Source organism: Homo sapiens, chromosome 3 (genome assembly GCF_000001405.40).
Source record: "Homo sapiens chromosome 3, GRCh38.p14 Primary Assembly".
In the NCBI taxonomy this organism is placed as follows: Eukaryota; Metazoa; Chordata; class Mammalia; order Primates; family Hominidae; genus Homo; species Homo sapiens.
In genome coordinates, this window is record NC_000003.12 from 108,173,581 (window position 1) to 108,186,380 (window position 12,800).

Genomic DNA, 12,800 nt, shown 5'->3' on the forward strand with positions numbered 1-12,800 from the left:
AACACAAACTCTACTTTATAATAAAATAGTGAATATCTCATGTAATTTATTGAATGTTGTACAGAAATTGAAAACCAGAATGGAGGTCTGGGTGCTCAAAGCACAGTTTCTACTGAATGAATATCACTTTTACACCACTGTAAAGTCGAAAAATTGTTAAGTTGAACCATGGTAAGTCAGGGACTCTGTGTGTGTGTGTGTGTGTGTGTGTGTGTGTGTGTGTGTGTGTATATAATATAGTATATTATATACAGTAATATTAAACATTAAAATGTTAAATTCATGTTCTCAAAAAATATTTAATGAACAGCAAACATGCATGCTAACAACATATATTAAAGTGGAAAATACAGTCTCAAAAAGAGTATTTTCATTAGGTGTCCTATTTAGTAAAAATCAGTATTTGCATATATTTGAGTGTGTGTGTGTGTGTGTGTGTGTGTGTGTGTGTGTGTGTGTGTGTGTTTAAGACAGGGATTTGAATATGGGTACTTTTAAATTTCTTCTTTACCATTCCAGAATATTCTAAATTTCCTATAAGGAAATTGTATTACTTTAATTATCAGGAAAAAAAGACAAAAACCTTCTAGATGCCCAAGAAGTTCTTGAAAGGGGTTTAATATAGTTATAATGGAAAAAAATATAAATGATTATAACTGTGGCATTTTAAAAACATGAATATAAAAAGGCAAAATATATATCTTTTGAAAAACTATTAACATAACTGCGATAGTTAAAAGCTTTACAGAAGTTTGTGTCAAAATGAAGAAGAAGAAGTGGGTTTTAATGATATGTAAGGACTTGAAATCTATCTGGATCCCTGAAATAAATAACATTAAAAGGAACTGTTCAACAATAAGAGTAATTCTTACATTAGTAGAGAATCCATTAGATTACAATGCACTTTTATATGACTTCCTTTATTTGAGACTCCCAAAGGTTTGGAGAGATAAATAGATATTGTCATCTCTTCTTATACTTCTACCTTCTCTTTAAGAGGTTTATGAGATTTGCTGGCTGGTTGTGGGACGAGAACACTTTCCTGCTTCATTGATGCTGACCTTCACTATGTGGTTCTCTTTAGCCAGTGGAATGATGGTGGACATGGTCTATGCCAGGATTGTGCAGAAGCTGTCAGAAACATCCATTCATCTGCTCTCCTGCTCTTTCTTTCAGCCATGATAATAATAAGCATGCCCCACATAGGGACTATCCTTTCAGCCTGGGTCTGAGAGTAAGAAACATAGAATCTAGCTGGAGCAGAGGTGCAGCTGAAGCAGATATCAGCAGATATGTATTGTATGTGAAAATAAATATGTTATTGCAAGCCACTGTGATTTGGGGGTTGTTTGTTATGCAGAAAAATTAACTACATATATGTATTTTATAGTGAGAAAAACTAAGAATCAGATAGGCTAATTGACTTTGGCAAAGTTTTATGTCTGAAAAATGCAAAGCAATCTCAAAACAGTGTATTTTCCGCATATTACATAATGCTTTTTTGGGGGATAAAATAAACTACCAAAGAATTTATAAGATAAACCGAGAATTCTTTTTGCTATTTATCAAGTTCTTGCTGGGGTCTACTGGTCACCTATTCTAAAGTGCTCTAACGTGTTCATTAGGCATCATTTCTTCTTTCTACTGAAGATGAATATTTCACTCAATTTTGCATATTTTCTCTCTCAATGGAATTGAGAACACTAATACTACAGTATATCATTTCTTTAGAATTTCTATGTTTCAAAATCCTCTCATATGAAATCACATGTATAATGCTATCACTTATTAGGTAAATAGCAAAGGTATCATTGTAACCATAGATCCCCTCCCCACTCCAAATTCTTTAGCACTAAATTATAATATTATCTATCTCCCTTCTTCAGAAACTGAAAAACTGTGATGAAGTATCTGGAGATGGTGATTCACAGTACACCATAAAATCAAAAAGTATGAGATGTAGTTGCAGCTGTTAAGGTGACTCGCAAGACTATAAGGATCTCTGGGTTTTACTTCAACACAATAACACTTGAAAGATTTCCTTTGTGTATGAAGAGGCATTTTCTTTGTCTAGATCTCCAACTCAATGCTTAAAGCTTCTCTCTGAAACTGCAGGAAAAAGAGAAACTAAATCATGAGCTAGAGCTAGAGATGGTAAATGGAATTTACATCTATGTATCGGTTTCATTAGTTTACAACTTGTAAAATACCAAACCTTCTTTAAAAAAAAAAAAAGTTTGACTTTGCGAGTGGAGAGGCATAGTGCTAAAGAATTATTGATAGAAAAAAGCCATGGAAGTCACCTTCCCGTGTGCTGGGATGCTTTTTTCTATGCTCAGAAAAAACCCTCACCAGACCACAACTGACTGTAGCAGTTCATGGAGGTCTATTCGCACTTTTTGCTTCTCCCTGCAAAAAAGCAAGAGCAGAGCTCCAAGGCTCTGATGTGTGTTGAATCACTTTCCATCAAAAAACGTTACTTCTATCTGACATTGACTCTACCCTTCTCTATTCTCACTGCCCACAATTATAATGGTAATTACAATTCCATTATAATTACCGGTGAAACCTTAATTCAATGTTCTGTTTTGCAGTTTTATTTTAGTGAATTTAAAACTATTTACAAGGGCGCTTACGGCTCCATTTAAGACATCTGCATTTTTCTCAGGCCATTGTTTCAACACAGAATTCATTTTCTCTAGAGATTTTCAAGATCACTCTAACGTATGAGAAAGAAATCCTATACCTCCATTTCACAGATCGGGTAACAAATTGAGGTCATGTGATTTTTTAACATCATCAATCACAAAATGAATAGGAAACCAAGTATCTTTTCTCTCTCTTATAGGTTTTCTATTACATCAAGCAGCCTCCTTCATTTCCTTTCTTTGTCACCCAATTTCAGTAAGAAGCACAAGAAGTTCTCATAACTCTCAATTCAAAGTTTGTACATTAAATGAATGTTTATTATCCTGGTCGTTTTGCTAAAGCATGAACACGAGGGAAGGTTGCTGCTTCTAATCTTCTGCAGACAGACAATCCAGATAAAATAACCTTACTAGAACCATTACTAAAACAAGGATAAATAAGTCCCAAAGAAGGATTTATAGGACTCTCCTTCAAACAAAATGCATAAAGCTTCAGTACAGTTTCTTCTGTGTTATCCACTTTAGTTACTTAGAAATTTTTTCTCTCTCCTTCCTTGGGTATGGAGTAGTACCTCAACAATCACATCCCTCCAGGGATCTTTTTAAATCTAATAATGATAACTATAATGTTAACATTCATGGAATGCTTAGTATGTGTTAGGCACTATGCTAAGCACTACTGGTAAATCAACACATATAATTCCCTTAAAATGTCTACTAAGATGAGGAAATGGACACTTAGCTATTTTTAAGCAGACTGTAAACTCACACAGGTCAATCCATGGTAGAGCCCAAAGTTGCAATGACCACTATATTATAACATCATTTTCCTTGATAAAATGTAGTAAAGTATACCTAAAAATTTTAAGTGGATAATGGTTAGGGGAGACTTCAGTTCACTTGTAATATTTGAGTTCTTACAAGAAGGTTATTCATATATTAATAATGCAATAAAAATGAATTGAAAACATTCTTAGGATAAACATATGTAATTATCAGTGTTATCAGAAAAAATATCCAGACCCCAGATGGCTTCATTATCTTCCCAAACATTTAAGAAATAATTAACAACCTTACACAAACTCTACCATACAATAGAAAAAAACGGAGAGCAACTGCCAACTTGTTTTATGAGACCTGCATAACATTATACCCAAACCTGACAAAGATCCCTAAAAACAAACAAAAATTACAGATCAATACCTTTTGTAATTACAGACATAAAAGTCTTAAAATATTAGCAAATCAAACCCAGTGATATGTAAGGAGGATAATATATCATAATCAAGTTGCATTTATTCCAAAATGCAAGGTTAGTTTAACACCAAAAAAATCAATCAATATAATTCAACACAAGGTGGGGGGACAGGAGACAAATTGTATAACCATTTCAAGAGATGAAGAAAAAAAAATTTGAAAAAAATTTAATGTCCTTTCATGACAAAACCTCTTGGCAAACAAGGAACACAAGGGAACTTCCCTAATTTACTACAGGATATTTCTAAAAGACATAAAGATAATATCATACTTAATGGTGAAACTGAAATACTGGAAGCATTCTCCCTGATAACACCACTTACACCCAAAATAAGACTACAGTTCTTAACCAGTATAGCAGGCAAGAGAAAGTAAAAACACAAAAGGCTCACAAAGAATGACGATTGATGTTATCTGCGAATGACATAATTATAAATCAGAAAAGTCAAAATAACTTACAGGCCTACTGTTTAAAGTGAATTTAACAAGTCACACACACACACACAGCTAGATACAGATATACATAAAAAATTGTATTTCTATATACCAGCAACAAATAAACATAAAATATATTTAAAAGAAACCATTTTCAATAGTATCAAATAACAACAAATAGACTAAAGTGATAAAATACAGAGTACAGATACAGACTCACACATACATGCTCACTTGATTTATGACAAAGCAGTGTACTGGTGAAAGAATAACCTTTTCAGTAAACTGTCTGGGTTGGTTGTGTATACATATGAAAACCAAGTAAGTCTTGAGTTCTACCTCACAACCATACACAAGAATCAAACTTAGATGGATTGCAAATCTTCTGAAGGGCAAAACAATAAAGCTTAAAAAAGAAAACAGTCTGAGAATATCTTCATAATATTGGGGTAAGCAAAGATTTCTTAAAACATAAGTATTAGCCACACTTGCTCCCCCCAAAAAAAATCATTTTGAGTATATTAAAGTTAAGTCACTGTTTATCATAATACAAAAAGGAAAAGGACAGCTAGAGTAGATATTTGCAGTACACATATCTGACAAGGGATTCATATCCTGAATATATAAAGAACTTCTATAAATCAAAAGGAAAAGCAGATGGCCCGATGGCTAAACACAAAAGAAGATATCCAAAAGCTAAATAAGCTTATGAAAAAGTGGCTCAACCTCATAAGTCAACCGGGAAATGCAAATTAAAATGACAATGAGATATCATAACATACCTACCACAATGATTAAAATAAAAAAGATTAAAACACTACTGAATGTTGACAAAGATATGAAGCAATTGGAACTTCACACAGTGCTGGCAGGAATATAATTTTTATCCACTTTCAAAATTTATTTGGCAGAGTCTACTACAGCTGATCACATACTTACACCATGACCTAGCAATTCCACTCCTAGCAGAAATTCCAGTAGAAATGTGTACATTCCAGTAGAAATGTGTACATAATGCTGCTATGAAAATTCTTCTATGTGTTTTAGCATATAGAAGAATTTTCATAGCAGCATTATGCATAATAGTCCCAAACTGGAAATAACTCACATATACTCAGATGCAGGAAGGATGAGACCTTGAGTTAGGCAAATCCGCCACTGAAAGAGTGGAGAGCTAGAGGCTGTCTGCTGACCATACTTTCTGTAGCTGGGCAGCAAGGCCCTGGGGGATCTGGATAACAAACTCTATTTCAACCACAGGGAGAGACTCAGTTATTAGATTTTTAATTTTAGTTGCAGTGGTAGAAAGGTAGGGCCAAGTGAGAGCTATATTCCAAAAGTGACAAGTCTTGAGATTTCCTGTGACATGTCTAAAAACTCATCTAGGGTCAACAATTCTTTGCAAATCTGAATGGCAGAAAATCAGATTAAGTAAAAGGGGCAAGGAAAATACCATGATAGAAGGAGGTGCACATATCTAAGTTTACTCTAGGAAATACTTCTCGGACAAAAATCTATAAATTATCATGCTTTCTGCAAGGATATGAGCAGCATATTTCTGTCCTCCACAGAAAATCCTCCCTTCCCTAATAAAAGAACATTATCTGTATTCTCTTTTTGCCACTTGGCACAAGCAGATTTGCAATCTCTTCTTTTTCTCATTCGCAGAGTTTCTCATTTCATTACTGCCCCCGTTTGTGTATCTATTTGTGTATGTGAGTGTATATGTGTGAGAGAAAGAGCAAAAAAGAGAGTGAGACTGTCTATTCAATTAAATAACTTTTTAAAAATGAGATTGAATAACTTTTCTAATGAAAAATGCCCACTAGGTTGCAGGATAATTATAGAATGTGGCTTTCCTAAATTTTTAAATCTGACATTTTTTTCTTCCATTGCCAGCAGCTTAAAGTCTTCTATGGTACACTCTTGTGGTGTAAAAGCATAATTTTTATTTTTATGCGTTAAAGAACTACACATATTACTTTAAAAAAGTATCTATGTGTGGTATATATTGTGGTGTATTTGTTGCAGGCAATGTGGGAATAATCATGATCGCTGGAAATATGTGTTTCCTCAGGGATGTTCCTGCTTTCTAGAAATTCATCTCATTGTAGAGAAAAATAAAACACTGTACATCATCGGTAAGGAAGGCTATGATAATCACTGGTATTCTCACACCTACCTATCACAGAATTGAAACTGGAGATCTATAACCTCTAAATATAATACCTTTTAGTGAAATAATTACATTTCTAACACGCTCGAAGGCTATCTTTACAAACTACCATCTGTTACTAAAGAGTTTTCATATGTTGACTCAGACCTATTATTTATGCTTACTCCATTAACACCCCTTTCATATGGCCACATCGATCTTCTGTGTGAGAGTTTCCAGGCTTTAGAAGGAGTTACAAGCAAAGAGAAGAGATTTGGCAAGTCAGACAGGGAGTGAATCAGGCCTCTGTGAGAATGTGGGAACACCCAGAGGCCAAATCAGAATTTAATTATTTTATAAGATGCTGAGTAACCACAGTGGAACACCAGAACAGGTGACCCCAATAGTACTCCCACCTTCAGGAATGTATGAATCAAAACTTGGATCTCATACTGATAAAACTCCCCACTTCCTCCCAGCTCAAAAAACTCTAAAAAACAAGAGTTAACTCCTGCATATTTGAAAAACCAAGAAACATAAATTGTTACTTGGTAGAAGGAAACAAAATCAAATAAATGGGATAAAAACCATAGGCGTAAAATTTGTTAGAATATTAAGAAATTTTTAATAAAACTCAGTGATAGAACTACTCTAATATAATTGATTAGAAAAATGAGTCAAGCCAATAAAAAGTATATTTTATAGCAAGGTCCATATGACAAAGGCTTTATGCTTCAATTCATAGTTCATATTAAGTAATTTTAAAAAACAAATCATTCTTTGCAATCATAAAATATTTAGGTAGTCTAGAAATTTTAATTATAATCAATGTGTATTAATTCACTGCTTTCAATCACAAATATCTAGTTGAGGTATATCAACAGTGAGGCATTAGCAACTTCCCTCTGCAGTATTTATATAACATGAAGTCTATTGGTTATTTCCTTAAAATCTGCTACCACTCTTGATGCTCTTTAGTTACAACTTACGGTAATCTCTAAAGCAAAAACAGTCATTCTCTTATTTCAACTTGTGATAAACGGAACCTTTCTCTGATCCAGTTGAAACATTTATCACACTCAGGGTAAATAGGAAGGCAGGCATCATCAACTATCTTTAAACACAGAATATCCTGAATGTTCAACAAGACTATGACAGAAGCAACTAAAAATCTTTTTTAGTTGCTAAGAATAGCTAGGTTTTTCTCCACCCCTTTACTGTATTTTTACATGTATAATTTTAAGCACAATATTCCCACAACTCTGATACCTGTCCAGGATCCACATGAAACAAACAAACAGCTGACCTTGCAATACAACTTTAAGTCCACAAAATAACACTTGTTTAAAAATACAACAGCCCAAAACAACATTCTGTTTTATGTAGTCTCTCTTAAAGAAAGCTTGTCTGTAAAAGTCCATCAGTGAATAGTTCCCCTCGTTCTCTGAGATGTCATGGCAGTTGAGTAATCATACAAGCTGCTCTAAAAATGTATGTGTGTCTAGTTAATTTAGGCAGTTTATTTTAATAGCATTCACCTCTTTTTGATTATAGCAGGTGTTTCAAGGATAAATTTGCTGAAAATTGTATTTTGTTTAAACAGCAGCATGTACATTTATGGCCTTACTATATTAAAAAGCATTTATTGTCTGGCAGCAATAGATACAATTACAAACATTTGTGACAGTAATTGGAGCTATTATTCCTGCATTGAGCCACGTGGAGACCGACTTATTGCCACCTGTATTTACATTTGTTACTGGTAATTGTAAAAGCTAATTTTTTTTATTTGGCACCTTGTTTTTCTTTAAATTACGTGAATATTTCTCAACAGAGGTCTACCAGAAAATCTGTAAGAATTATAACTGTAGTTTCTCCATTATTCAAATAACAGGCAGAGTCCCATTTTAATAACGATTATATACATAAAACGTATTCCCATATTCTAGGCCACAGTTTATATATATTTTTGCTCATGGATGCAAGGATCCTATCAATATATCCTAACTAACAACCAGAGTATAAGTCTTAACAAAGACTCTTCATTCCTAAATTATAACAATTTATAAATCCCTGCAGGTCAAAAATATTTAGAGAAGCTAAATTTTATTAATACCCACTTATACTGCATCCATGGCAGAAGGTCAAATCAAGTTACTCTCTCCACTGCTTTGGAATGAGGGGGAAAAAATCCTCTATTGTTTCTAGAGGATACAGATTTGTCTATAATATGAGAACGCCTACCACTGTAAATTTCTGCAGGATTTGGCTTCCAATTCTAAGAGACTTAGATCTAATATAGCAATTCTGTGGTCCCTCCAGGTTCATTCAAATGGAATTCTACCTGCTGATTAAAGGAGGCCTCTCTTCTCCCTCTCAGGTTTTGGCTCTCACTGTGACTAGAGAGGCCCAGGGGTTCAAGACTATTGCAATGATTCCATCCTTAGCACAATGACTCTTCCAGAAATGTTTCCTGCTGTGAATCACTCAAGGCAACGCTTATACAGTTTATTTATGTTAAACCAAAATCCAATGGCTTGGAGTTGAAATTTAAAGTTTAAGGTTCTTTTTACAACTGCACTCTAAGTCAGACACTAAATGAATAGGTAAGTATTAAAAAAAGCAGTTCAGTAAGTCAAAGGTTTGAGATAATTAGAAAAACATACTGTAATACTTCCAAGGCCTTTTAAAAATAATCTCTTTATCTAAATTTCTTGTAATGAATCTGAAGATTTACATAATTATTAATACTAGAGACATTTTGGTGGAATGAAGGGGATACCTACCCAACTATCTTTTAAAACAACAAAGTAAGAAACATTTAATTATAATTTGGAAAAAATCTACTTAAGTCATTAATCAAAATTCTAATTACAATATCCACAGGGCATTAAAGCATGTTAGAACATTTTTTCATTGCATTAAATGCCTAATATTAAATCACTATAACACACAATCATTTAGTAATAAGTACTGCATAATTGAAGAAAAGGGCCTAAGTAGGGTTTAGTTGAAAACTGATTTCACACTTTCTGCTCTTCCTTATTTCTAGAGAACAAGAATAAATATTATTAATGATTATTTGGTTTCCATTGTGATTTAAAAAAAACTTGCCTTGAAAAAAAATCATGCTCTTCATGAAGAATAATAGGATTGATGACTTTAGAAGCCACTTTCCTTTGGGTCAATACATGAAGTTGAGACACTAATTGTACAAATAAACAACAGACAACAGCCAGCTCATATACAAATATATAACTCTGACCCACAATCTGCAGCAGCCAGACCGGGAAGCAAAACCACAGCCTCTGTAGCAATCAGCCCCAAACAGGGTTTAATCAATGACTGCTGGCTTCCCCACTTTTGTGTGCCACCCACTTTCAATGTAGGACCAACCAGACCAAGCCAAATATCCTCCCCTCCCTTAACCAGCCAGTCACATATTATACCCTGCTTCTAGTTTAGCCCACCTGAAGATTACCAGCCATATCTGAACATATAGTAAATCTTCCCTTTTTTCCACTAAAAATCATTTAAATTTTCCTACCTGCTTTTGAGTCTTTGCCAAACACACATGACGGTGGCTGACACCCTTGCTATACAGTAAGCTTTGAATAAATAGCCTTTGCTTGGTCTCACTTGCGTGGTCTCCATTTATTTTAACAAAGTCTAAGGTTTGCTTTTTATAGTAAAAACTCAAAAAGAATATTCTTCCTCAAGAAACAGCATTAAATATTTCTTTAGCAATTTAAAATTAATCAAAATTACAGAAAGTAAAAATTTATATGAATATGCATTCACCTTTTCTATTTCTCCAGAAATATGGAACATGGAGAATTCTTTGGCAGCTCAGCTTCAACTATTGTTATATTCAACTCAGCAACTTTCAATTGATTCATGTAAAAATTTAAAAAGTTTATATGTTACTATAAGGAATTTAAAATTTTTTAATTATGTAGGAAAGTATTATCCTTCAATAATTGTCCTAAAGTACTACTCTAGTTTAGGCATCCTCAGACAGTCAGTTTCTAAGAAATGGACTCCTGAGCCATACTCATTAGGTCATAACCGAGGCATTGCTAAAGTGGCATGAGCTAGGATTTGGCTGATTTTTACTTCCTTAGCAGAATTTCTGGCTGCATCTTTAGACACATTATTCCAACTTGAGGCAGATCTGAATTGTTCTCTGGATACATAACCACCCTAGAAGTGCAGCTGTCCCTTAAACAACACTGGTTTCAACTCCATGGGTCCACTTATATGCGGATTTTTTTCAATAAATATACAAAAAAATTTTCTAGAGATTTGCAACAATTTGAAAAAACTTGCAGATGAACCACACAGGCTAAAATATTGAAAAAATTAAGAAAAAGTTAGGTATGTTATAAACACATAAAATATACATAGATACTAGTCTATGTTATTTACTACCATAAATATACAAAAAAAACTATTATAAAAAGTTAAAGATTACCAAAATTTATGCACACAAACACAGACTGTATGTGGCACCATTTACAGTTGAGAGAAATGTAAACAAAGGTAGATATGCAGTATTAAATCATAAGTGTATAAAATTAACTGTAGTACAATCTGTACTACTATAATAATTTTGTAGCCACCTCTTATTATTGTGATGAGCTCAAGTGTTGCAAATATTGCTTAAAATGTGTGAGGTTAATCATGTCCAAGTGAGCAGTTAGTCTCTATAGTAAATTGTGTATCACAGTAAAAAGTTATTTCTTGAGGTTTTCGTGTACTTTTCATGTTTAGTGCAATATCTTCAAGTATTTTTCATGTTTAGCATAAACCCTGAATAACACCATGGGACCTATACAAATGTCACTTGCAATGCTGGAAGTGCTTCCAAGAAGTAGCGAAAAGTCCTGACATTACAATAAAGAGATGAATTGCTTGACATGTACTGTAGATTGAGGTCTGCAGCTGAGGATTCTTGTCATTTCAAGATAAATGAATCCAGCATAAGAACCATTATAAAAAAAGAAAATTCAGGAAGCCATCACTGCAGCTATGACAGCAGGCACAAAAACCTTTCGCTTTTTGCAAAATACTTTTTCTCTTATACTGAAAATGCAGCTTTTATGTGGGTGTAGGATTTCTATAAGAAAGACATACTTATAGCCTCCATTATGATTCAAGAAAAAATGAAGATATAATACGACAATTTAAAGCAAAAGGAGGGTGAAGGATCTAAAGCTGGAGAATCTGATGCCAGCAAAGGATGGTTTGATAATTTTTGAAAGAGGTTTGGCTTTAAGAAATGTCAAGATAACAGGAGACTCAGCTTCTGATGACTAAATGGCAGAAGATGAGTTCCTAGGTGCCATTAAGAATATCACTGTGGAGAAAAGATATCTGCCTAAACAGGTTTTTAATGCAGACTAAAGTGCCCTGTTATGAAAAAAAGAAAAAGTGCCACGAAGACATTTATTACTAAGAGATGTGAGCACTAGGATTTTTTTTTTTTTTTTTTTTTTTTTTGAGATGGAGTTTCGCTCGTTGCCCAGGCTGGAGTGCAATGGCGCAATCTCAGCTCATCGCAACCTCCCCCTCCTGGATTCTAGCGATTCTCCTGCCAGCACTAGGATTTAAAGCAGGAAGGGATAAGCTAATTCTACTATTTTATGCAAATATAGTTGGGTTTATGATTAGGACTGCCCTTATTTATAAACTGCTAACCCCTGAGCCTTGACAGGAAGAGATAATCACCAGCTGCCAGTCTTTTAGTTGTGCAAGAAAAGGGCCTAGACACTGAGAACCCCTTTTCTGGACTGGTTCCATCGATGCTTTATCCCTGAAGTCTGGAAGTACCTTGTTAGTAAGGGACTGCCCTTTAAAGTTTTTTGATATCGGACCATGCCCCTGGTCACCCAGAACCCCATGACTTAAACATCGAAGGCACTGAAGTGGTCTAGTTGCCCCCAAACACAACATCTCCAATTCAGCTAGTAGATTGGGGGTCATAAGGACCTTTAAGTCTTATTACACATAGTACTCTATGGAAAGAATTGTCAACACTGTGGATCCCCAAAAGAGAGAACATCATAAAAGTCTGGAAGGATTATATCAATGAAGATACCATTGTTGTTATAGAAAAAGCTGTAAAAGCCATGAAGTCTAAAACAAATTCCTGCTGAAGAAAACTGTGCCAGATGTTGTGCAGGACTTCACAGGATTTATGACAGAGACAATCAAGGAAATCATGATAGAGACTGTGGCTATGCCAAAAAAAAAAAAAAATGTTGGTGGGGATAACAGGTTTCAAAATATGGATTTTGGAGAAA

At 34.2% G+C, this 12,800-nt stretch overlaps 1 protein-coding gene across 1 annotated transcript in view, besides 1 other annotated feature; it reads right to left on the reverse strand.

Annotated features, from left to right (window-relative positions):
- Window positions 1–12,800, reverse strand: part of IFT57 (intraflagellar transport 57) — a 61,613-nt gene that overhangs the window by 12,769 nt on the left and 36,044 nt on the right. The gene's annotated exons all lie outside the window — the stretch shown is intronic.
- Window positions 9,719–9,919: a silencer, noted in NCBI's record as "peak4760 fragment used in MPRA reporter construct". NCBI's record gives its function as "represses an SCP1 promoter by STARR-seq MPRAs in K562 erythroleukemia cells {active_cell/tissue: K562}" and the evidence as "EXISTENCE:reporter gene assay evidence [ECO:0000049][PMID:32103011]".